General features: G+C 42.5%; 1 long non-coding RNA gene across 11 annotated transcripts in view; it reads right to left on the bottom strand.

The window, feature by feature from the left end:
- Positions 1-21,874, bottom strand: part of MIR3976HG (MIR3976 host gene) — a 165,609-nt gene extending 143,735 nt beyond the window's left edge. For 9 of the 11 annotated variants that reach the window (NR_172496.1, NR_172503.1, NR_172497.1 and 6 more), the window contains exons 1-3: positions 21,709-21,874; positions 8,200-8,375; positions 807-910 (exon numbers count right to left, since the gene is read on the bottom strand). This is a non-coding gene — a long non-coding RNA (MIR3976 host gene). Of the gene's footprint in view, positions 1-806; positions 911-8,199; positions 8,376-9,625; positions 9,686-21,708 lie in introns of all 11 variants that reach the window. The other 2 variants (NR_172498.1, NR_038839.1) reach the window with 2 other exon arrangements.
- Positions 21,875-27,489: the final 5,615 nt, after the last annotated feature.

Here is a 27,489-nt window from a genome sequence, read left to right as displayed (position 1 = left end):
GGGATGAAATCAGAGGGAAGGGAAGGGAAGGGACCACTCCTCCCCTTTCCCCCCTCATCCTCTTTACCCTACGTCTCAAAACAAAAAGGATCATTTTCGTTGCTTTGTGTTTTGTATGAAAACCCCCAAATTATTTTGAAAGGTTCACAGAGCAAGAGTCACATGTCGTCTGAAGCACACCCAGAATGCTGGTATCTTGAGGGTGTGCAGATGGCAGGATTCAGAAACAGAAGGAAGCTCAGTAACTCCAGAAACAGGGTCAGACACCTGGAGACGGGAATGCAGTGACTAAAAAGCTAGCCTGAGGCTGCACTCCAGAGTCTGGGCAGGAAAGCTTCTAGAGAGAAAAGGGAGTGCCCTGCTGGACAGAAGTCAACTGTGAATCTGCCACAGTAGGAACACAGCGTCTCTCAGCTAGCAGGCTTCCTTGGTCTTCTGAGAGTCAGTGGTGCCATGTGGAAAAACAATTTGTCTGTACCCAGAAGACCTGTGTTCCAGTCCTAAGTAAGTCACTTAACCTTAGTTTGGATCTCATTTTCTTCCCCTGTAAAATCTGCCTCACAGGGCTCTGGTGAGTCCTCTACAGATAAATCATCTTTACTGCACCCAACTCACGAATACAAGAAAGTGGAAGAAAGTTCCGAGAAATCCCCAAGTTTTAGAACTTAAAGAAACTGAGCATTCCCCTAAGTGATGAGAGGCAAAGGTGGGGCTAACCCACACATCTCCTCATCACAGAGCAGTGCTCTTTCTATGGCAACAATGAATGGAAGCACAGTAGCAGAGTAGGGGCGACAGAAGCCCACCTCTTTTCCAAGTCGATTTCCCTCTTCCTTGTCACCCTGCTGCTGAAGGGGCCCAGAAGTGTGGATGGTAGCAGTGAACAGTTCTCTCTCCACGGCTGTGAATGCTGGAAGGAACAGCGAATACTGATGCATTATTTAGAGCAATAAAAACAAAATAACAATAGCCAACTTCTATTGGGCATTTGCTGTATTCTGTGCACTAAGTGTTCCAAATGCATCATTTATTTCAGATGCCTCCTAACAATCTTATGAGGTGGATACTAACATTATTCCAATTTTTACAGGTAAAGAAGCAGTGTTGGGGAGCTATTTGTTCCAAATGACACCGTAGGTCCCTGAGGAAGCCGTGATGCTGCCTCCAGAGGCTGAGCTTGTCCCCAGTGTCTCTTCAGTAGGAAAGTGCCTGTGCAGGAGAGGATGGGGCTGTAACCCCCAACCCCAAACCTTCATGAAGAAGAGAGCATGACAGGCTGTCAGCCTGCAAGATAGATTTGGGGGACAGTGGGAACTGTATTCACCATTTCTCTCCATTCCTCAGCCACACAATGTCCCAGCCCCAAACCTACAGAAAAGTAAGAAGAAATGGGACATCCAACTAGAATAGGAAAGGATTGAGATCTGGAAGGGGACAGAAGGATGTCATTGTCATCTTTAGGTATGAGAAGATAACTTCCCAAGCTCCCTAGGAAGCCCTCTCCTCTCTTCCCAGTAAGGAGAGTACAGCAAGAAATGCCCTCAAGTTGCAGTCCTAAGAAACTGATGGAGAAGAGAGCATTTTGTGATGCAGCTGTTGACCACTGGAAGCTGCTGGAAAGGGAGCTCCTGGCAGGAGAGGACAATTTTGCGTGCCAGTGTGTCTCTGTTCATTACAACATTGAAAAATTTTAAATCAAAAATGAGATTTCCAGAAATGTGCTTTCCTAAATTCTTCTCACACGGGTGTCCTATTAATATGGAAATGAGGAAAGATTTAATCATGTTTGACTGTTTGCTGGAAAGAAAGCAAACATGCTGATATGCTAAGTATCATCAGATTTGTTAAACAGGGTCAGGATTACAGGGCTGATAGGGGACTGATGGATTTCTTGCTGCTCATTATCCCTATTGAATGGTTGGAATACATTCAACACTGAGCGAGGCAGGTCAGGGTGGGGCCCCGAGTGCTCCTGCACCTGGTGCAGTGCTCCTGGGAAGCGTGGGCCTTGGCAGTGACCTGGAAGGCTGCCCTCTCACAGAGGGTCTGCACCTGCTCGACCACTGAGCCCGGCCCACTCACTGCAGGGTGGGTGCATGGCTCTGAGCAGATCAAAGTGCAGGATCAAATAAGGGTTCTTCTCTCTCTCATATATAATTGATTACTTTTAACAAAGCATCTCTGCATGCGTGGAATCAGTTAATCTTACTAAGATTCCAATAAGAAAGGAAAGATAGATATTTTTATCTGCCCAATTTATAGGTCAATAAATAAGGCCTAGAGAGGTGAAGGAATTTGTCCAGTGTTGCTCAGCTCAAGGGAACAGATAGAACCCAGGACCCAGCCCACTGCCTGCCCCATGCCAGTGAGTCCACTGCATGCCTGCTCCCATCTCCAGCCTCCAAGTCCCACGTCGGCTCCTGTCCCAATCAGACTCACTTGGAAACACATCTGGGGCTCATCTTGCTCCCAGCCACAGGGGAGGTAGCAGCCTCAGTGTTGTCAACTGAAGAATGATGAGGTTTATAAATTTGGAATGGAGAGCTTATTTTTCATAAAAGGTTGCAGCCTCCAGGGTTGCACAGCCTCCTGCCAGAAGCCAGAAACAGGCACTTTGACAGTGGAAAGACTAAGATGGGGATTTATGCTGAATGAGGTGGCCAACTACGGATATTCAATGAGCTATAGGAGGAGTCATGAATATTTATGAAAGGAGAAACATATGCATGGGAAATTGAGCTTCATGCCTCTCCATGGGACCCATGTTCTTGATCTCTTCAAGAAAGAAAGACATACTGTGTGGCCATCATCTAGCCCTGGGAAGACCACAGTGAACAAGAAAGAAAAGCTCTTATCTTCATAGAGTTTATAGTGAGGACTGTGCTCTTCAGACTTTAATGTGTGTGTGAATCACCCAGGGATTCTGGTAAAAGCAGATTCTGATTCAGTAGCTCTGGGCTGGAGCCTGAGGTGCTGCAGTCCTAACAGGTGATGGCAGTGCTGCTGGCCCCTGGACCACACTTTGAGTGGCAAGGCCATAAGGCTGGATGGAAGAAACTGTTAACAGAGGATGACAATAGGATATGATAGTCCTAAGGCTGGGAGTTTGTAGGATGATCTAAGGTGACACAACCGGAGAATCCACTGCAGAACGGAGAAATCGGATAAGGCTCCCTGGGGGGAAAGGAAGGCTATGTTGAAAGCTGGTCTCCACCAGCTTTCCTCATGCCAATGTCGTGAGTGGAAAAGACGGTCCACTCCAAGTCATGATATCTGTGTGCAAAGTCCTATGAGCAAAAATGAAAGCACAAAGCTTGCTAGCTTGTGAGAGTTTCCTCTGACTTAAGAAGATACCAAGGGAGAGCAGAGAGGGGTTCCCAGGACCCAGAGGTATGGTCAAGGAGCTGCATTTGTAGCTCAGGGCAATGGGGAGGTATTGAAAGGTCTGAAGCAGGACACTGACTGGTAAGGTTTGCTCTTTTCAAAGCTCACTCAGGCTGCCTCGAGGAGAATAGATTGGAGGGGGGCTCGAATTAGAGGGAGAATCAGGAGGCTGTGTTCTAGTAATATAGGTGAAGGGTGTGGGTGGCTTGAACTGGGGCTGTGGCCATAGGGTGGGTTAGAAATGGGCAGATTAAAGGTATGTGATGTGGGAGGTGCCCTCAGCTTGATCACTGATTGGACAAGTGTGTGTCTTCTGTGCTGGGTGCGGTGGTGGAGGATGTGCTGCCCACTATGCCCTTGACCTTCTTCTGTAGTTCCTAAAACCAGGTGTTTATTTTTTCCCCTTTTCTTCAATATGACTAAGCTTTTGTTTATCCAGCAATAGTATTCATCATATTTTCTGAAACATGTGGAGGTTTTTTCCTACCTGTCTCCTTACCTCTTCTCCCTACCTGTTCTCTTAGGCACTGAAGCCCCAGCCCCCTGCCACTGCCCATAACTTGCTTCTAGACTCTCTTAATGTTTTCCACTTGTCCATCCCAACTTCTTTCCATCCTGAACTGCTAGGTCTCAGCCATTACAGGGAAAGTACATCCTACCGTTGATTGGTTGGGTCAGAACATGGGAATGTGTCCAATCAGAGCTCTGCTAGAATTCAATGCATTCAATTCCTAAGCAATGAGGTCTATTTTTTGAACTTTTATTCTATATTTTTTTTGTAGAGATGGGGTCTTGCTATGTGGCCCAGGCTGGTCTCAAACTTCTTCCCTCAAGTGATTTTCCTATCTCAGTGTCCCAAAGTGCTGATTTCAGGCAGAAGCCACCAGGCCCAGCCTAGGAGGTATATTTTAAGCCAAGTGAACCTCTTAATAAGATATTAGTTTTATTTACAGTCAGTTATGAAGAAGAGCATACTTGTTCCACTGAGGGTAAACATCTCTCTGTACTATTCTTTGAGTCCCACTTTTATCCGCTAATGAATTTATTAAAAGGTAGGAAAATTGTGTCTGCCTATGAGCATCACACTGTTAATCAGATTTTTTTATGTAAATGAATGTCCTGAGATCATTACTGAAATTGAGAAGAACCAGCTGAGACCAAGAACAGTCATTCAGCTTTCCAAAGTATGGAATGTAGGTGCAAGGACTGAAGAATCACATAAAAACATGATCAGAAATCTCAAGAGCACAAAAAAAAGTCCATTGTAGGGACATCCACCATTACAAGCCTGCATTTCCCGCATATGTGTTAGCATTTGGAGACATGGAAGATAACCCCAGAAATCCAGACGTAAGATTTCAGAAACCTGTGGAAGACCTGCAGATTTGCATCCCAACTGGAGGCCCACGGCAATGACTTCGACCTTCAGTTTAAGAAACACTTCTTGTCAAGAGCACATCCTTAGCAAAGAAGTCTGTTTATTACCTACTTAAAAATGGTCTCCCACTATTGGGTGCTGATGAAAGATAATCTGTTTTTATATCTTACCCAAACTTCAGCCTTCTCCTTCTATTCAAGCGTGGGAATAATGAGCCACTCGTGACATTGCATATATTAAAAAATAGGCTTTCCTCACATGCAAACCAGAAGATAAAAGGATTTGGATTTAAAAACACTCCTCTGATTTTTTTGTTTGCAAGTAGCATTTCTTCTTGGAACCACAACACTTTGAGCTCATCAGCTGGAGGAGAAATTACTATTGTGGATGAAAGGGGAAAAAACCGGCAGCCATAGCACTAGAGTTTTCACAACACAATCCCTGCATCAAAGAAAGCAGGCTTTCTTTTTCTTGAAGGTCATATATAGAGAGCTGTAAGAAAGGACCTTGAAACAGATATAGTTTGTTGTAACTTCATCTCTCTTCATCCCCAGCGTATCTTGTAAAGGGTTCTGGGGCCTTCCTAGAGAGCATGGCATATACTAACTATTCTTAGACTCTAATGCTCACCTTCTCTTCTTACCTGGGGTTTGGTCTTGTGGCTCTGAGTGTCACCCTTATTTGATTATTTATTTATTTATAATAAATAAATAAATGCCTAAATAAATGACAGAGTCTCACTCTGTCATTAGGTTGGAGTGCAGTGGCGTGATCATGGCTCACTGCAGCCTCAAACTTCTGGCTCAATTGATCCCCCCACCTTAGCCTTCTAAGTAGCTGGGACTACAGGCACGCACTACTATGCCGGGCTAGTTTTTAAATTTTTTATAGAGACAGGGGCTTGCTATGTTGCCCAGGCTAGTCTTGAACTCTTGGTTTCAAGTGATCCTCCTGCCTTGGCCTCCCAAAGCACTGGGATTACAGGCTTGAGCCACTGTGCCTGGCCACCCTCATTTTGAATTGCAATTCAAAACTCACCTCTTTGAAGTAGCTTTTTTAAAAAAAGAAATTCTGACAAACTTTTGTACTGTCCAAGTAGACACTGTAAGCTCTGCCTTTCATTCTCTCCTTCTCCTTAACACACCCACCATCATGTGCATTGATGATGCATGTGGAAAGGGATTCTTACCAGGAGTTACCCTTAGCAATTTTTACATCATGACAACTTTATGAAAAAAAGCTTAGTTCGCATGGGACTGTTCTAGGAATAAAAGCCATGGGTAGAATTTAATAGTAACAATTATTATTTAACATGCAGTTGATATATACATATGAAATTCAAGCTCATTCTCTTTTACTTAAAAGTAATAATGATAGACTTCAACTAAGCTAATAAGCTAAATAAATAACAATAGATTGACCCTAATTAATAAATTTGTTAAAAGCCTTTCCCTGTTAATGGGTCCTTAAGCAAAGATGAGTTTTAAGATACACATTTTTAGAATAGAGATAATGATATAAGTTTTAGAATATAAATTTCAGGTATGTTGATAATATGTGTAGAAATATAAAAGATCCAACTCAACAAATGTATATCACTCACTGTGTACTCATTCCTGATGGGTACAAAGATGCTCTTAAGGCTCGTGTCACCTGGAGAAGATGACTTGAAGATATGTCTACATTAAGAGTGAAGAGGAGATAGAAAAGCTGAAAATACAAAGCAGATGAAGTAAACTATTGGAGAAGGCAGTGGAGAACAAAGTTTGGGAAGGGAGGTTGACCTTGAACTGAAAAGAAGACAGCCTTTTGTCTGAAAATGAAAGAAAGGAATGAAGTTTGGGTCGCAATAACAATAGATGTGTAGTTGAAATTCTTCATGCCCTATTGCTTTCATTTTCCTGATAATATAGGAGTCATGCAGTTTGCTAAGGGTGAGAACACTGAAGGGGGTGAGGGATGCTTGAGGAAAGTGGAAAAATATTAAAATGGTAGCTGACAAAACAGAAGGAAATTGTTTCTGTGCACTCAAGGTCCAGCCAAGGCAGGAGATCAAGAACCTTTAGTGATGCCAACCAGCAGGTTGATAAACCTTCTCCAGTAGGGCTAGCAGCCTGGTAGTAGATAATTTATGGAATGGATGCCTTATTATAGGTTTGTTGGACAGATGCAAAAGAAGACGTCCTCCAGAAAGGATTGGGACAGAGATGAAGCAAGGAGTTATGCATGCTCATAAGCCATGCTCAGCTCCACGTTGTGTTAGAAGGAAAGAGAGGCCTCATGGAGACCAACAGGAGAGCAGCAGCACTAGCAACCTGTCTCCAGAAGAGCAGGTGTTGTGGTGAGGAGGCCGTGAGAATGGGAAATTAGAGGTGAAGAGTTCTAAATTAGAGCAGTTCTTGGCAATGGTAGGTTCCTCGGTGGAAGTCTGGGCATATGTGACAAGAGTAACATAGAGGTAGAAGTCTCTAGATTTGAGGCGCTCAAGGAACTGTGAGGTGAAGATGTCTGATGGACCATTTATGAGGATACAGAAATCCTTGGTGATGCTAGCAGAACAAGGTACAGGAAAAGTCTGTGGGGGAGCGCCTAACAAACAGGAGAAGGAGTAACCTGGAGACTGGGAGACAGAAGTAACAAGGAAAGGTAGCGGGTGATTGTAGCAACTGACTGGTAGGACAGAATCTGTCTGGCAAATCCTCCATCTTAGGAGGTGGAGACTTCCTTTCATTATGAAATTGGGATCGTATTCTCAGACTCCCTGGCAGGTGCATACAGATATGTGAATAGGCTCTGCCAATCAGACATGCCTCCCTTAACTTGCAGCAGGAAGCTCAACTTTGTACCCATTGTGCAGGAGCCACTCTGGAAAGGGACCGCTGCCAAATCTGCATGCACAATTACCACCTGCAGAGGCACTGGCATAGACAGCAGCCTCCAGGAGTGTCTGGTGCCAAGTGGGCTGTGGGTTTTCAGCAGACAACATCTGCAGATTGGTTTGGGGCATTGTTCCTGGTTTCATAGCCTGGGAACCTGGTTCTTCAGTCATGCCTCTCACCCCATCCCATTGCACCATCCCCATGATTCTGTGGCTCTCCAGCATTTTTTGAATACATTCATTTTCAGGCTACATCAGCCAGCCAGTTTCTGTTGTTTACATCCAAGGGAATTTTGACTGACACTGTGATAGAGCCAGATTGATAGTCTCTCAAAGGAGGAAGGGTTTTCACACAAGGGTGCAAGAGGAATGACTTGGAAGAGGATTTGGGAGGTGAGGGATGCTGACCATACCTGATCTCATCCTTGTAGATCGTCTCTGTTCTCTCATCCCAGTACTTCTCTGTGCTTCCTGGAGGACATCACTTTCCCTATTGTCCTCTGAGGCAGAGAAGTTCATGCTGCCACCCTAGAGTTTCCTTCAGAAGGGTAGGACTTACTTTCAGGTGCTGAGCAGGTCTGGGTGGTGGTGCCTGGGGTCCATAGGTTGGTCAGTCCCACATCAAGTCTGGCATTGTATCCAGAGGGTGTCCTCTATGGTCATGGCAGCAGTTCCTCTCCAGGTGCTGTGCTGTGGAGGGTGTGGTTGGTCTCCTCTACCAATACAGCTGGGCACCTGGAGAGAAATCCCAAATTTTAGTTGAATCAACCCGGTTCAGGAATCCTTACATACAAGAACTGAAGGGATCCCTGAACTTGGGACTTAAAATAGATAATAAAGGCCTTAAAATAGATAATAAAGAACTTGCACTTGAACTTGAACTCCCAGTGAAGAGTGAAGAAATGGGTCTTACTGAATCATGCATTACTTAATCAGAATTGTAAGTAAAGATAGAAATAATGTGTAAATATAGCATTTTAAGTACCAATGTGGTTCTGGTATGAACAGTCTTAGCCATGGGTGATCAGAGAATATCCTAGTGTGGGTTCCATTGAAATCCTTTTTCTAGTAAGTCATGTATAGTGAGTTCTTTTCTGCATTCTATTAGGTCCAGGCCAATTAAAATCAAGCACTATTTATTATATGCCCATTATCTGGTAGGCACTTTGCTAAGTACTGGGATACCACAGTGAAGGCAGCCCAGTTTTCTTGAAGGGAGCTTACAGTCTATCTAGGGAGAAAGGCAATTACATTACGCAGAGACATGCAGGCTGGTGGAACTGTGAGCATGCACAGGTCGCGTGGGTGCAGGTCAGCCTGGCCCTTTCTCTGTATCATCATGATACATTATGAAAAGAATGATCAGCTGACTTTTCTGAAATGATTCAAAATCTACATGTTAATACTATTTCTATTGTCCTCTCAATTTCTTCCTCTGTTTGCTATTTCACAAGTGTATGCTGGAACCCAGAGCAACTGAAACTGCGGTTCAATTCTCTCCCAATGCAAAATACTCTGTGGATGTTCTCTGCAAATGCCTCCTTCAAAATGCATCCTGGGAATACCTCTGTGACTCAGTAGGGAGGGTTTTATAGTCTTTGCCGGATGTAAGTTTGAGAAGAACCTCTCCAGTTATGGCTGCTCTGAGCTATTTCCCCATCCTGGGGGACAATTTCTCATTTCCCACCAGCTACCCACCGGCTTCCTTTACATAAGGCAAAATGCTGCCTTGCCAGATGTTTGCTGTTTCTCTGGTTTATCTCTATGATATATGGGTTCCAAAAGTATTTGAAAACTGAAGTTTCAAAATTTTTATGTGTTTTCCCTTGACAATGTTCCCCTCTGCCCGCTCGTTAAATAAAAGCATTGTCTCCAATTTAATCTTTCCTTCTCTGCACTCTCCCTCTGCTCCCTGTTCCTTGGTAATCTCCTGCACAGAGGCTCATAGGCTGTTGGAATTTGGAAGGGATATTGAGATCACTTACTGTAATGGTTCCCAACTTCCTTTTGCTATTCTCAATGAGATCCTTTCTGCAAAGCAGGTCCTGTAGAGTCCAATATATAAACCAAAGACAATGCTTCTGTGTTTGAAATGGGGGTCAGGGCCCACGCCCTGTCTGTTGCCCCTTCCCACACCCACACAGAGTCCCTAAGACACCCGTGACACCCTAAACGGGGCTTCTCAAAGTAGGCTGGTGTCAGGCTCTCCCTCCCACATGCTTGTTAGCAGACATAGCTTCTGCATCCCATGCCCCTGCCTGCAACCCACCGAATGAAACTCTCAGGTGGGAGCCTGGGAATCCTCATTTTACCAAGATCCTCCACTGAGTCTCATATTCATAAAATTTCAGAATCACTGCCCATTACTCCAAGAGCATAATTTAAAAACTGCTCTTCTGGGACAACCCCGTTATTTTACAGAGACACTCTTTGAATTCCAGAAGGCTGGAGCCAGACCTCCCCAACAGAGTACAGCTTTCTTTTCACCTCCACGTAAAAAGGTGCTCAGTCTATGTTAGACTCCCAGTGACCAGTCCTAGCTGCCTACAGGAGCTATCATCGACATTTCAAGCTGCAGAGTCAGACTGACTCTGCATTCTGTTCCTGCTACGCCCGCCATCCCAGGATCACAGTGGCTTCTGGAGGTCCCAAGCCTGGCCTTCGGATCTCAGGTCCTGTTTCCAGCCAATGACTCTAGGTGACCCCCAGCTCCTCTGTGGTTTCTCTATGAAAGTCCATCTCTTGTCATGGTCACCATGTTGAACTGGACTCATCTTTACAGAGCCTGCTATACACTACATCCCTGAAGAAAGACCCACTGTGCTCACAGCTGCACTGATACCTCCACTCTCTGTCCCTCTTAACAGACTCAATGCTGTACACATTGGTGGTTTCCAGGCTTGGGAGAACATTAGCACCACTGGGGAGGGTGTGCTTTTGAAAATACCCACCTAGTCCCACCCAGAGATTCTCCTTTAACTGGCCTGGGATGGGCATTTGGCATTGGCATTTTTAGAAAGCTTTTGCCACTGCCCTCTTCCTCCCTCTTCGGGGACTCTGACGTAAAACAAAGGTTGAGAACTATTGCTGTAATTTGAGTAGAGTTAATTAGAGGCACGTCTGTCTCCCTGGCAAGACTGTAAGACTTGCCAGGATATGAACAATGCCCTGTTCACCTTCATATTGCATTTCTTCCTTCCTTCCTTTTTGTAATTACTGAAGGTTTACTGAGCCCCTACAGTATGCTAAGACACTATGCTGGGCTCACTCTCTTGCACAGAGATAGAAAATTTATACAGATATAATACATTATTATTGTCATCATTTGTCCCTCTTGGACTGTAATCTCCTGAAAGATCTATGCCTCGCTTTAACATATAACCTATATTCTGAAGGAGGGGCAGTGTGCAGTGCAAAGTATACCTACTTTGGTGTCTGGCTGGCCGACCTGTGTTCATATTCAAGATCTGACATTTCTTAGCTACATGGTTGAGCAGGTAACTTAATCTCTCTCTGAACCTCAATTTCCTTGGCCATTAAAAATATTATCTATCTGTGGGATTGCTGTGAGAATTGCAGATGGATAAGGAGCCGGCAAGGGGCTGCCAGTTACTGCCCAATCAATGCGGAGCTTTCTCTTTCCACTTGCAGAGAGCAGTCAGACTTGCTGGGCACATCCCAGGCTGCCTAGATCTTACCGGAGAAAACAGGAGGGAGTGGCTTCTCTCCACATGTGGGACAAAGCCAAGCAGAAAGGATACCTGGTAATTTACCAGTGATTTTTTAAAAAGTTAAATGACAAAATGTTTGCATGTTTAAACATGCTGCAGTTTTAAGGCTTCCAGAAAAGTTTAGGTGGTGATGTTGTTCAAAACAATGGGAAGGATGGCAACAATCTTTGAAGAAAACAGCATTTGAAATAAAAGAGTTGCCTTAATTTGCAAAAATCCATATAGGCTGGGAAGGGGGAGAGTAGTCCTGGCTCAGCTAGTAACCAGCTGTGTAGCTTTGGAATGCTCTGAACTGCATTTTACTCATTGGTTAAATCTTTAAAAATACAAAGCCAAATAAAAATGTTAGCCATTTTAAATCCACTTTCGGAGAGTGTAAAGCAAATGAGACTTAAAAAACAAACAAACACAGGTCTAAATACTGATATTTGACCACATGACACCAACATTTCTTTCCTGATACTTGTTCCATGATTCTCCCTCTAGGTGTGAGTAGGAGCAAATGTATATTCTGGATTGGGTGTCATGAATCCCTGAATCTAGGTTAGAGAGTTTTGCAAAAGCCTAATCTTTCTTATACCTAAAATGAACTCAAGAATTGCTTCTAGACTTCCAAGATGAAGACCTTTATGTTTTAAATGGTTTCTAGCATACTGATATCATTTGACTTCCACAGAAAATGTCATTTTTTATCATTGTTATTCTTATTTTGTTCAGTTAGATGCTTATGGAAGTGGTTAATTGTTTAAGAACTATGCTAAGAGTAGCTTGGGTGCCATTTTACACCTTTATTTCCATTTATGTTTCCTTTCTTTACCAGTGCATTTAAACTGCAGAGTAATATAGTCCTTCCTTTTGTAAGAGAAGTAAAAATACTTTGCACACCTGCACAATTTTATAACAGAAAAGCTTGAAACTCCATTTTTTAAAGTACCCATATTGTATTTTATCCCAAACCATTAAAATTGTTTATTCCTTACCTTCCCTAAGCTAAAATGCAAAGCCATCATTCTGATTCACAAACCCCTGTCAGTTTGGCTGTATAAAAGCAACAACAGGGTGTGTTATACAGGCAAGACAATCTCTGCAAATTACTTGAGGCTTCACATCTAAGACCTAAACTCCCTGGAGACTGGTGGCTCTTCCTTGAGATGGCCCTGCCACTTACTGCTTCCTGATGTGGCTGAAATCGAGAGAGTAACATGATTATCATTATTTTCCAGTCAGAAATTTAAAACCAGACAGTGACAAATCAATTCTCAAGGCATACATTTCCATTTGTGAAAGTGAAAAAAATAATCCCGAGAATCCCCTGTTGCTAGCCTTGAAAGTGAAAATACAACAAATCTCTCAGTGTCAGGGATTTTAAAAATCTCTCTCAGACTATTTTTCAAATGAAAACTGGTGGCAAACTGGATGACATTTCCACTGGGTATGGTGAGACCTCCGAACAAGAGGAGGGCGGTGCTGAGACCAGGGTTTACCAAGAGTCCTGAATAGCTGTATTAGAATAGCCATGGATCAATGTGAAACTTAATACTTTAATGACTGAGCTTCTCTTGAGCTCTTGTTTTTAATTCTCTGGTCTCAAGAGAATCATTTTCTTCTCTCAATCTAATCTTACTGGGAGGAGGAGATAGCCAGGGTATAACTGTGACTCAGGAAAAGCTGAGAAAGAGTTTCCAGTGGGTGAGGACAATGTCCCACTCCCGGCGCAGGCAGCAGAGGGTTAAGCAGGTGGCCAAGCCCTCAAATTCAGAAATGTAGACTTCTCCCCACCTGTATAACTTGGGCTGAGTTACTTAACTGCTGGAAATCTCTATTTCCTCCTCTATTTCCTGCCCCCGAATGGTTAGCATCACATAAAGCATTTAGTGCAGTGCTTGGTACATAGTGAGCACTTACTAATTATTGGGAATTTTAATGATTTTATCTTCTCAGTGTTTAACAGCTTGCATCATGACTATCAGGGGGCTTGGTACATTTTGGGTGAATAAATGACATATGATGGCACTCTGAATTGGTCACTGCTGGAACTGGCTAGTGAACTCATCATCATTGTCATAAGTTTTTGATATATGGAGGTAACCTGTGTGCACAAGCATCTTCTCTGCAGTACCACAGCATTCATCCAGGATGTGTCTATGAGAAGTATGGCGGCTCTGACCTTGAAAGATCCAGGACCCCCAAAAAGAAATGAAATTGGCCCAATAAAATTTATCAGTAATCAGAAACCCTAGAAATGAAATGACCACTATTTTCTCTTCCAAATGTGTTGCGAAATGTGTGCTATCATATGCTCCGAACAGCGCAAAGCTCTTCCAGTTGAGTCAGATCAGTCAATGTGTATCTGCATAGCCACAGAGAAATCAGCAGCAGACGATGTGCTTCTTTGGCCATTCTCCTCTTAACCTTCTGGCGAGAGGTCAATTTGGGGAAATTGAGGCAGTTTAACATCTTTCAAAGGAAAATTTGAGCTGAAAAGGAAATAGAATTCCATATGTGCCCAGGAACTGTAGCATTGCATAGAAACATGCCACACATGTGATATTCCCAATATGAAATCCTGAAATCATACCAGAACCTATCTAGGATATGAACAACAGAAAATTATTAAAAATCTGCTATATGTCAAGCATGGAGGTACAAAGACAAAACACAGTCTCTACCTGAAAGGGTGCAGAATCAAGAGGAGGACAGACTTGTAAACAGACAAGTACAATAAAATCTACTATGCGGGAGGAGGAAGAGTGGGGGATAGAGGAGCCAATTCTTCGGAAAAGGATTAGAATGGGGTCAGTAAGCCTTGAACTGACTCTTGAAAGGTGACGGTTTTCTAGGCAGTCAGGGGGAGAAGGGATTATCCAGACAAAGAGGAAAGTATAAACAAAGGTGCAGAGGAAAGAAAGCCTGACCTCTGTAGGCATCAAGAGCTGGTTTGGCTAAAGCTTGGCTGAAGTGTATGGTGGGCAGGCAGTGGTGGCTTTAGCTCCCATCCCTGCTCCCTCATCTCCATTTGTCCTCTTCTACCAGGCAGGATTCTTGTTACTGCCACCAGAATCCAACTTGGGCTGTTCTAGGCACAGGAGAAGGAGGGGTTTCTGGCAACACAGGGTGAATTGAATAAAGTGCTTACCTGTGACCCCTACTGAAACTCCACTAGATGTGCAGTAAGACAGTAAGGAACCTTTCTAATGGCAGAAACACACAAGACAATAAAAATGGGAAAAGAGATAAGATCAAAAATCATTAAGAAGCTGGAAAGAAAGGTTTACTGGTATCTAACTCAGAAGACAGACCTAAGGAAACAGAAATCTTTCTATAGACAGATAAAGGGAAGAAAAGCTATTATACAATTTTGTCTGCACCCTAGAAGTCCCAAAGGGCATAGGAATTGGTGGCACAAAGTAACTCTGGAAGTGGGGTAAAGGTGGGGCTGAAACAGAAAGATGGGCTTAAATCTGTTGAGTAGGAATTGGACCTCAAAATCCCTCCTCGACTCTGAAGAGCCAGGTAGCTGCCCCTCACCATCTCCAATCAGAAAATGGCATTTGTTCTTTGAAGAAGGTAAAACTGGAATCTCTGCACTGGAGGACAATGGGCACAGATGAGGGTGCAAAGACGGGAATGAGGAAATGAATAATGGTTTATGAATAGAATAACCTCAGCCTCAGTCCTCTTCCTATAGTTAGCACCCAGAATGCTGGTGCTCAGGCATGCAGATGGAAATTTTTTATTTTTATTTTTATTTATTTATTTTTTAATCAGCCCAAGAGAAAAGACCTATAGATGCCAACATGGTAATACAATGGCCAGGTGAAACTCCTCACAGTGAAACCCGCTCCTATCCAGCCCCACCCATATGGGGCTTCCATATCAGCTTTCAGTGCCCTGCTCTTACACATAAGATAATGGTCTCTGTCACATGCCAGACACTTGAGGAAAGCTCTGACATGATGCCAGAGACTGTTACAGCATGAATTGTGTGCCCACAAAATTCATATATTGAAGTCCTAACCCCCAGTACCTGAGAATATGACATTATTTGGAAGTAGGGGGGGTCACAGATATAATTAGTTAAGGTAAGTTTATACTAGAGGAAGGTGGGCCCTAATCCAATACATATGTCCTTATAAAAAAGAATGCCATATGGGCCAGGTGTGGTGGGTCACACCTGTAATCCCAGCACTTTGGGAAGCAGAGTAGGCAGATCACTTGAGCTCAGGAGTTTGAGACAAGCCTAGCCAACATGGTGAACCCGGTGTCTACTAAAAATACAAAAAATAGCCAGGCTTGGGGGTGCATGCCTGTAATCCCAGCTACCAGGGTGGCTGAGGCAGGAGAATTGCTGCCTCTGACCAGGAGTCAGAGGTTGCAGTGAGCCGAGATCATTCCACTGCATTCCAGCCTGGGCGGCAGAGTGAGACTCTGTCTCAAAAAATAAAAGAATGCCATATGAAGGGGACACACATAGAGGGAAGAAAATGCACACAGAGGCAGAGATGAGCCTCTATGAGTCAAAGAGAGAGAGGCCCGAAACAGATCTTTTCCTCATAGCCCTCAGAAGGAACCAACCCTGCTGACATCTTGATTTCAGACGTCTAGCTTCCAAAACCGTGAGACAATAAATTTCTGTGTTTTAAGCCACCCAGTTTGGGGTACTTTGTTATGGTAGCCCCAGCAGACTAATACAGAGACCAAGATCGATAACCAGGATAGAGAAACATGGGGAAAAACAAAATAAGTTCTTTACTAGAATACCTACCAACCGACAAACCCACTATTACTAATATCCTCAGAGAACTGAGAAGATATTCCATCCATAAAACTAGAACAGTGTACTTTTTAAAAAAAGCATTCAGAGAAGTAAAATAAACCATTGGAAATTAAAAATTAAATTAAAATATTTGTAAAAGCTTAATGGGAAGAATAAAAAGAAGAGTGAAGTTGATTTTCTAGAACACAGATAAAAAAATCAAAATGATTGAAAAATGCAGGAAATTATAAAATAGTTAAGAGTAAATCTAGGAAGTATGATACACAAATAACAAGAGTTCCAGAAAGAGAGAACAGAGAAAAGGTAGTGAAGAGTATCATCAATGCAAAAATTCAAAGACATTTCCCAAAATGACAGCTCCTGTATTTCTAGATTGAAAGGGCCCACCCATCGGACAACATGATAGATGAACCCACAACAAAGAGTAGCATCATAAAAACTTAGAACACTGAAGTCCAAGTGAATATTTTAAAAGATTCAAGAGGAAAAAATGGATTATGTACAAAATATGAAGAATTAGAATGGTACCAGGCTTCTTAAGAGTAACTTGGGAGATAGATGACAATGAATCAATGTTTTCAAAATTCCATGCTAACTGGGCAGGGTGGCTCATGCCTGTAATCCCAGCACTTTGGGAGGCTGAGGCAGGCAGATCCCTTAAGCCCAGGAGTTTGAGACCAGCCTGGCAAACATGGTGAAACCCCATCTCTACCAAGAAAAGAAAAATACAAAAGTTAGCCAGTATGATGGTGCTCCCCTGTAGTCCCAGCTACTCAGGAGGCTGAGGTGGGAGGTTCACTTGAGCCAGGAGGCAAAGGCTGCAGTGAGCTGTGATTGTGCCATTGCACTTCAGCCTGAGCAAGAGAGTGGGACCCTGTCATACACACAAAAAATATTTTGCAAAAGGCTTCCTAACCTTGAATTCTATTCTCAATCAAGCTGTCAATCGAGTGTGAGACAAAATGCATCAGAAATTTTACCTCTCAAATGCTTCTCAAAAGTTTCTGAAGGATTTGTTTAATCAGAATAAACAAAGAAAGAGGGAAAAGGAAAAGCTATTCAAGAAATGAGGGATCCAACACCAGAGGAAGAGAAAAAGAAAGAATATTAACCTATGGGAGAATGGTGAGGAAGGATCCCAGGATAAAACCTGTGCATCAGGCCTAGAAAACAATTAGAGCAAAGAAGTAGGGAAGAGAATAGAGGGCTTCCAAAGGTATATCTCCAAGACAGATGGATAGGTAGGCAGAATGGATATGTTTCTTAATGTGTTCTAATGTGTCAAGAAGAGATTTACAGATCTATCATCAGGTTTGGCAATAGTGATAGATACATAGAGCACCATGCAAAAAAATCAAGAAGGCAATTATTAACTCCAGATGAGAGGAGTTATAAAAGAAAGGAATTGTAACTGTGACATAGTAAATACAAAGCTGTAAGTAACTTTTCATGCTCCTAAAAATATAAACATTGAGAATTTCATCAAAAACTAAATGAATCACATTGTGAGGAATGGGGTGAAAGATATGAGTGTATGGGAAGGTGGTGGAGAAGGAGGAGAGCTGCTTTTAAAATAATGAGTATTTTAGAACTATTTAACTCTTCAAATGGTGGACATCAATGTAAATAAAAACTTGGGCACGTATTGAAGATAGCTGAGTTTACAGGTGCAATTTTTTCCTTGCAACCTCATTTACTTCCCCAAAACTTAGTGGTGAAAGGTAGGTAGTATTGTTCATTTCCCCAGAACTCATCGGTGGTAAGTATTATTATCTCCATTGAATAAGCAAAAAATTGAGGCAGGGATCACAGGAAACTGGAAACTCCATCTGCAAGATGGGAAGTGAAGATGAGCTTGCTTTAGGGCAGGAGCCAGGCTGATGCCCGCATCAGCATCAGGCTCAGTGGCTTTCTGCCTCTGTCCAAGGCGAAGTGCACATAAGGTCTGCTTGTGTTTGGCTCTGGAGCAACCATGAGTGGAATTCATCCACTTTCCTTCTTAGGAAACAGAGGGTCTTTGCATGTCAGGGGTGATTCAGAGGAGCACCTTTATTCTCAACATCTACTTTCATTGGAAGAACGTTTTACTTTTGCTATTCTTTACTATCATCCACTCACTAATTCATTCAAAGATATTTGTTGAGTGTCCACTGCATGCCAGGCTGTATGCCAGGTGCTAAGGATACAAAAATGAACTGCTTCCAGGAGCTCACAGTCCATGGGAGGTGACAGGCCCAGGAGCAGAGCATGGTGACACAATGATGCTGGTGCGCCACAGGAAAAAAAAAGGCTCTATGGGATATAAGGGGAACTGGTCCCAGCCTGAAGAGGTCAGACAAGTCCCCTGCAGCAGGAGAACTTGTGAGGACTAAAGATGTTCTGCAGGACAGGAAGGGGTCTTTCAAAAGTATCATGCCATAGGTAGGAAACACTACAAGAGGCTGTACCCAAGATATTCTTCTAGCTTTACCCAACACATCCTTCTTACAGCATAAGAGATTGGGAGGATGAAGGAAAGAGTCTCTAGCTTTCATCCTTCCTCAGTGCCTTTCCCCTTAAAATAGTGGTTTGGGAGTTTCCAGTGATCCACACACGTTACTTACTGTGAGACATCACAGTATGTAAACCTGTGACTGGAACTCAGTCTATAAACCTAAGACTGGAACTCAGACCTTTCAGTCCAACCCACTTGGAAATAAGCTAGGAAATGGCCAAGGGGGAAAAGGTCCCAGCATCAAGGGTAGCAGGACTGAATCTCTTTTGATCTCAGATCTCTGCAGAAAGGGAAGAGTTAAAAAAGGTTATTACATTAGTGTGGGAAAGGAAATGTGTTTTGTTTGAACATAATTCGGGGCGCAGGTGTTTTCATTTACTTTCCTACTTCAAACAGTGAATAGAACCCTTTTCTAATTATAATTAGAAAAGTGTACCTTAGTGTACCTCCTGGCATGTTTTGAGGACCAGCTCCTTGGAATTCCCAGTGGATATGAGATAGGGATAATTGAGCTGCCCAGCAGGTTTGGGTAAACTTCCCTGAAGAACTTGCACGCTTTGCTCATTCTTACTGTTGAGCTCCTGTTGACTGGGCTGTGGAACTCAGCTAACGGGTCTCCTTTGACCTGCACTTGTTTCATCAGGTTATTAGTGGGGTGGAAAGTTCATTCATGTAGACTTCCAGGTGTGAGATGAGCTAGAGAGTGGACGGTGGGGGAATGGGGAGATGAGATTTGAGGAGACAGGGAGCTTTCAGGTAGCTTAAGGTCATTTTCCACTGATGAAGAAGCAGAAAGTTTCCTAGAGCTTAAAGGCATTTGCCTTTAGGGTGACACGGGTACCCCAGAGTCAGAGAAGTAACTGACTTGAGCAGAGAGGAGAGTGGCTTGTTGTGGGCTATACCAAAACCCCAACTCTTTCGTGGGGCTGGTTGTGAGAGCAATAAAGCAGATGTGTTAGATGAAGGCACATCACAGTCCCATGGTTCCAGGAACTGGTTTAATGTAATTACACTGTTACAGCCAACTGCAGGCAAGAAAAGCCAGAATTTACAACCTGTGTTCTCACACACACACACAATCAACACCTCCCATTAACCGTCTACCATAAATTTCCTGCGGATTCACCTCTAATCATCTGGAAGTGCAGTCAGGCTGACCTCTATTCTTTCATAAAAAGATGGCTGCCAGGAAACTCACTGGATGGCATCAGCAGAGAAGCCTTGAGCTGAGTGGTCACTCATGATTTCTTTCTGCAATAGGGTGGTGATGGTGGGAGCCCAGTTAGATCTGATAGTGGGATCAGGGTATACCTGAGCTCTCAGCTCTGTGTACCTTTCCAGTCTGGCTCATGGAGACAGTAGTAAGTATGACAGTTCTGGCAGCCGCTGACCTCTGCTCAACATCAGCCCATTGGAGCTCTTTGCTGAATTCAGAATTAACCGGGAAAGCCATGTAGCAAGCAATGAATTTGACTAGGACAAGATTGGAAGCTTATTCAGAATGGCACCACAGTATTAATCAACTACAATTGTCATGCTGTCCGAGTTTGGTAGAGTGGGTTTTAATAGCCTAGATGTGGTGAATCTATGGATTATTACAGTCAATGATTCTGTGGAATAACAAAAAATTTTTTCCAATTAGATATGGACCAAGTTAATGTGAATCTGAGACACAATTAGGTATTTTCTTCTTACAAAGACAAAGCCAAGTGGGGATTTAAAGCTACTAATCAGTTCCACAGAACCCCAAATCCATAAAGATGACTTCATGGAAAGCTGAGCTGCAGGCTTCATTCTGTAACCTTTGATGAGAAGCAAAGTCACTCTCCTCCCTGTTTGTTCAGTTCAGTTCCTGCTGCCGACATCAGCCAGTTGTCTGAGAGATGGGCACAGCTATTCGTGCTTCATTGGTGTGTGACGGGGCCGGTTTTCCAGCATCTTCATCATTCTCAGGCTATATCAGAAACTCCCCTGGTGACCCATTCCTAACACTCAGGTTAACACAGATATTATAACGAATAACCCCTAGATCCTGAATCTATACCATCACCCCCATTCCTTTTAAACATGGCCCCATTATCTGTTGGGTTATAAAAGCAAGGGAAACCAGTGGCAGGTGTCGGAAATATGACTTTGATAGATCTGTCTCTGGATCTGAAAGGTCCGTTTACATCTCTCAAGCATATGAGAAAGTGATTTTGTCCATCCAACTCATGATTTCACACGTCCACTTTCATTAACAGGAAAGAGAAAATATTACTTATTGTTACTTAGTTATCTAGGATCTATTTTCCACAGAGTTCAATGCACTGCACACTGGGAAGTTAGTGCTTAAAATGTCAGGATATATTAAAGCTGTTAGGTCACAGTATACTTATTCAGAGGATCATTGCTGTGCTAATGTCCCCTGCCCAAACACTGACCATAGTTATGTATGAGGCCATGTTTAGATGGAATAGGAGCAATGGTGTATACTCCCATCAAGCCCAGCTACCATTTCTCCTCTTTTAGAACCACAACTAACTTCTTGCTTTTATGCTATGAGCTACCCAATCACAATTACAATAGAGCAGTTGCAATATTGTAATCTTCAGTTTTTCTTAGTTGTGCTTTTTATTTCACAAAAATTTGAATTTGTTTATTCCCTGACGCTGTTTTCCAGATTTAGGATTCTTTTGGGGAACTGAATTTTCCAGAAGGCTGGATTATGGAAGTGTTATTATAGATTATTAATTACCATAGTATTGGTGGCGAACCAAGTTGCCAAGCATGATGACATTAAAAATCAATTCTTAAATACATTTGATGATTGACAAACCAAATCATTGATAAGAAACCATTATAATTATTTTGAATAATTGCTGTTATAATCCAGTAGTTTCATATTGTGTTAGTTATCTATTTTTGCATAACAGTATTGCCACAATTTTAGCAGCTTAAAACAATTCACATTTATTATTTCACAGTTTCTGTGAGTCAGGAATCTGGGTACAGCTTAGCTGTGTTGCCCGCTCCAGGGTCTGTCATAGGCTATAACCAAGGTGTTGGGCAGGGCTAGAATCTCACCTGAAGCTTGACTGAGGAAGAATCTGCTTCAGCTTCAGTTTCTTGTGAGTTGTGGGTCTGAGGGATTCAGTTCCTTGCTGGCTGTTGATCAGAGGTCCCCCTTAATTATTCGTCTTGTGGATCCCTTCATATAGCAGCTTACACTCAATCAGAAAGAGAGAGAGTTAATGGAGAGGGTCTACTAGCAAGATAGAAGTCATAATCTTATGTGACATAATAATGACAGTGACATCATATCATCTTTGTCATAATTTACTGTTTAGAAACAACTTACAGGTCCCACCTATACTCACAGTAAAAGGATCATACAATAGTATGAATACTACCAAGGGAGGATAATCAGAGGGCTGTCCTAGATCTGTCCCCCAGGAAAATATTCAGAAAGGACAAAATATTTGATCTCTTTAGGAAAACCCCCTTTAAAAGTTTAGGTCTACACATGAAGGAAAAGGATTAGTTAAAAAAAAAATTTTAGTTCTAAACCATAAAGAAGGGAAAAAGGATATTGGTTGCAGGAGCTCAAAATATATATTTTTTAAAAATTTAAGCTGGGAAACATAGATTCAAGTTGCCCCAAATAGATACTCCCTAGAACATAATTTTTCTCTAAGAGCAAGAAAGTAATAACTATACAGGACATATTCATCAGATGGAAGGGAAAGAAGAGAAATTAAGTAGTTATTCTTTGTTAAAAAAAAAAAACACAAAAAACAAAAAAAGTAAGGCCAAAGCAAGCCAGAATAATTCAATGCAACACATAATTATTGAGTATCTCTGCAACTTGGACTCTACTATGTGCTGTGGAGAGTGAGGAGATTGTGGAAACACAAAGGAAGAGAAAAGTAAATAATACGTATTATTTTTCCCCTCAAGTTGCTTGTAACAATAGCAAGCATTTATGTTGATTTCATACTATTCCAGAGAGAAATCTTTACCAACTTTACATGTGTCAGATAATTTCACCTTCAAAACAACCCTGTGAAGCAGGTGTTATTCTTCCCATGATGATGGGAAAACTAATGGGCAGAGAGGTTAGTGACTTGCCCAAGTACACAAAGCCAGGAAGTGAGGCCATGTGGCTCCAAAGTCCATGCTCTGCACCAAGAGTCAGCAAACTACAACCTGTAGGTCAAATCTGGCCAGCTGCTGTGTATGTAAATAAAGTTCTACTGGAACACAACCGTGACTATCTGATTCCATATTGTCTATGGCTGATTTTACAATACAATTGCAGAATTGAGAAGTTACCACTAGGGCCTGAAAAGTCTAAAATCTTTACAATTTGGGTGTTTACAGAAAAAAGTTTCCAACCCGTACTATAAACTATTACAGCATAGTGCCTCTTTGAAGACAAACATACATATTATGTACCCAGACTTCTAAAGGGCAAGGCGAAGTAAGAACTACATATGTAAAGAGGTATAAAGAAAATGGGAGAATGTTACTGTGTCTTTCCTGGACACAATGGTGGTGAATGAGTGTGGGAAGCAGGGAAAGATGAGAGGTTTAAGGTTCTCTGGATATAAAGCTGGTGTAATTTCCTCAACAGTGGAAGCAAGAGCAGCCTAAGTAAAGACTAAACATAGGTAGCTAGATTCAGCAGTTGGAGGGAAAAAGAACAGTTGGGATAAAATATTTATAACCTATACTTACTACAAGTAACTATAATATTATGTTTTTATGCAAATAAAGTAAAAACAAAGTAATTAAATATCTTGAGTTTCAATAGCCAATTTCACCTTTAAATTTCAACAGTCATATTGAAAGCAGTTTCTGTCAACAGAATTAGGCAAGTGGCAGGTAGAGATCATGTGTTGTCTGAGACTCCAGGGTGTTGTACAAATATGAAACAGTCATTGTGAGTTCTAAGAAACCTCAGGGGACATCACAGATAAGCTGAGTACTTAAGCACGTTAGTCATCATGACATCCATCTGCACCTCCTTTGTTCAATTTCTTTAACTCTCGCTCCCGGGTAGACATTTTGTATTTATTCATCACTTAGCTAATTCATACCAAGGGGTTCAGCAAGGGAAGAGTCTTCTTCAAAGCATTTAGCACTGGATGAATATTCGCTTTGATCTCCCGTTTCTTTACTCATTTGCTAATGATAAGAACCGGATGGCAATGCGGAAATTCTGTCCTGTCTGGCACCACAGTTCCCTGGTGGGTGGGACTGGTCCCAAACAGAAACAACCACCCACCTGTGGGTATTTCTTGAAAATGCAACTTATTTCTCTGATAGTAAACACAACATTGAGATAAAGCTGAAAACGAAGAGTTCAATAAAATAAGGAGATATTTTACCCTTCTTCTCTAAAGCTTCAGAAATAGCTGAGATTTTCATAGGTAGTGCGTGGCATGGCACAGGCTTATCCAAAAGATTGAGAGGGTCCCAGCACAGTGGCTCACGCTTGTAATCCTAACACTTTGGGAGGCTGAGGCGGGTGCATCACTTGAGGTCAGGAGTTGGAGACCAGCCTGGCCAACATGGTGTCACACCATCTCTACTAAAAATACAAAAATTAGCAGGCGTGGTGGTGCACACCTGTGATCCTAGCTACTCAGGAGGTGGAGGCAGGAGAATTGATTGAACCCTGGAGGCGGAGGTTGCAGTGAGCTGAGATCATACCACTCTGCACTCCAGCTTGGGTGACAGAGCAAGACTCCGTCTCAAAAAAAAAAAAAACAAAAAACATTGACAGGATTTCATGACTCTGATGTTCCCCTCGGTGATCATGACTGTGAAGTTTCACTGCTTGCTGAATTGTCATTACACAATGCCTGCCTTTTCAGTCTATTTTGCACTTACATTCATCTAGTTTTAATTCTAATTTTATTTTTTTGGCACAATAGAGGTAAGTCAAATGGGGTTGCAGGCACTTGGATTCAATTGAAGATCAGAGCCTCATTTCCAAAAGGAAAAATAAGTCTCTTGTGCATTTGCTGACCATAGGCATTTTAAAAGAGGCTCTTTACCTTGTCACATGCCCCCAGCTTTGTCTCAGCTGCACTCCCTGCCATTCCTGGTCACACACTTCTGTTCTTTAAATATCATCCCATTTCCAAAGAGAAGTTCCGATTATGCCTCAAAGCTGCAGGTACAATTTTAACATTTGCTTTTAAGAAAGCAGATGTTAATTGAATTATTGTATAAGTGCTGTGATCTCACCTACCTTTCAGTTCTTCAGGTTTTCTGTCCATTTCACTTTAAAATGAGGGAAGGATGAGGTTTACCCCACCCACCCCCGCCAAAAAAGGCTGAGTTAAATTTCTTATTAGAGTCTTGATTTTGGAGAACTTGGTGAAGGCAGGAATCAGGAGAGTGAATGATCAACCCACCCAGTAAAACCTCCCTTTTTCTTTTAAAAATGGGATGTTAATGGTCTGTAGAAGGCATTAAATACAGAACTTCTCCACTAGAAACAGAAGGCTGGGTTTTCTCCTGATTTGCATTTATCTCTCTCTTGCATAGATAAAGCCTAACTTTAGTAAGAAGAAAATTCGTGCAAGTATAAAAGATATCAAAGAATATCATGAAACATCAGAAGATGACTCCAAGGGCTGGGCATGGGTGAAAAGGGAATTAAAGCCCACAGAGGAGCAAGGCAGCTGCAGACTAGTCTGGAGACTCACTCTCTCAGACACAGTGCTTTTTAGTCTCAGGGTACTGCCTCAGCTCATAGAGCCCTGGTTTTCCCAAGAATAAAATTAGAGTCATATTTTCCGTTTAACTCCCAGACCTTACCAAAATACGCAAGCAAGAAAACTCCCTTTAGTTCATCTACCAAAAGCATGCAACACCTATGTATTATGATATTTCAAAGTATTGATCCCTTTCCCATAGGCATCTTTACGTGGATGTCTCCCTGTGAGAGGATCACACATCTTGGCCCTGTTGATATCATGTTACTTGCTTTGACCAACGAAATAGAAGCAGAAATGAGGTGTGCTCCTTCTGAGCAGAGCAAGAACTCTCTCATCCTTGGCCATGCTCTCATTCTCTCTGCGAAGAGACAAGCAATGTTGGAATGGGGACCCTTACAACAGCCTGGGTCTCAGATGAAGAAGACATGCAGCTGACTTACAATAGGCATGTAACATGAGCAATAAATAAACCGTTATTGTGTCAGCTGCTGAGAGTCTGAGGATGTTTGTTACTGTAGTATGCTCAGCCTAAGCTAACAGATACATATTGTTGGGGAAATTCTGAAGCCTATGAACAGGTCCAGCAGAAGTCTATAGCATTTATATTGCCCTCATCCTATGCATTTTGATAAGTATTGTCTCTTCTTACCCACCCAGGTATATATTTATTCAATCCATCATTCAATAAATATTTCTTGTGTCTTGAGTGCTTGCCATGTGCATTCCATACTGCCAGGACATAGGAGTAAAGTTTGAACACAAAGATACAATATCTGCCTTGGGGAGCACACCACCTAGAGGAGAAGATGGACATTCAGCAGACAACACTACAAATAAACGCAAAATTACTAATTGTGAAACTACTATAGAGAAAAAAATAAAGGGCTCCATGAGAGATTGTAACAGGACACTTAAGTTAGATTGGGCTATCAGAAAGTTTGCACTGTGGATCAGAAGCACATCCTGAGGCTGAGTAGAATCTGGCCTGAGAGGAGCACAAGTGTTCCAGGCAGGAAGAGCAGTATGTGCAGATGCTCTACAGTCAGAGACAATTGGACATTTGAGGAACAGAAAGAAGGCCAATGTTGTTAGAGCATCATGAGTGGTGCTGGTACGGGGAGAAGCAAAAGAAAGTGGAAAGGTAGATGGGGCAAGGTCACAGAAGGCCCTGGGGGGACCACCCAGCCCAGTGTGCCCCAGAGAGTCCCAGCAATGATGCCCCCTTTCTCTCTCAAGGTACCTCTGTTGAGATAACAAAGTATGTGTCCACATTACTCATCAGACATTTAAAAGATTTTGGATTTTATGCTAAGAGCAATGGGAAGCCTTTGAAGGAGAGTGAGTGAAACGGAGCCGTATTTTTAAAAGATAACTGGCTGCTGTGTGGAAGATGGCAAGAGTGAACAAAACGGAGACCAACGTGGAGACTAAGGACATGGACCAGGAGAAAGAGTGTGGTGGAAATGGAGAGTAGTGGACACATGGGAGCTGTATTTTTATTTTTATTTATCTATTTTTTGAGATGGTGGTCTCGTTCTGTTGTCCAGGCTAAAGGGTAGTGGCATGATCATGACTCACTGTAGCCTCCACCTCCTGGGTTCCAATGATCCTCCCACCTCAGCCTCCCAGAGTAGCTGGGACTACAGGTGTGTGCCACCATTCTTGGCTAATGTTTTTATTTTTAATTTTTGTAGATATAGGGTCTCATTATGCTGCACATGGCAGTCTCAAATGCCTGGCCTCAAGCAATTCTCCCTCCACAGCCTCCCAAAGTACTGAGATTACAGGTGTAAGTCACCACACTTAACTCAGGAGCTATGTTTTTACTAGCAAATCACCACTATGCTCTTCCATTGTTTTCCTTATTGCTGGCTGCAGGACCACAAAGTGAGCCTCCTCAGATGAAGAAGTGAACCATCAACTTTGTTTTCCATTATTCCTATGCCAATCCCCATTGCCTTCACATTTAATTTCTCTACCTTCCCATGAAAAAGAAACAAATGGCTTTATGTATAATACCAACATTTTACTTTTTATGGAGCACAAATTGGCTGCTTGCATCTTCACAACATTCTTCTTTCCTTGGCCCGATCTTCTTCCGTCCCATCAGAACACTTCCACGTTGTTTTTCCTC

The sequence above is a fragment of the Homo sapiens genome, chromosome 18, assembly GCF_000001405.40.
Source record: "Homo sapiens chromosome 18, GRCh38.p14 Primary Assembly".
Taxonomy (NCBI): Eukaryota; Metazoa; Chordata; class Mammalia; order Primates; family Hominidae; genus Homo; species Homo sapiens.
The sequence above is the reverse complement of the archived record's forward strand: the minus strand, read 5'-3'. Positions and strand labels throughout refer to the sequence as shown.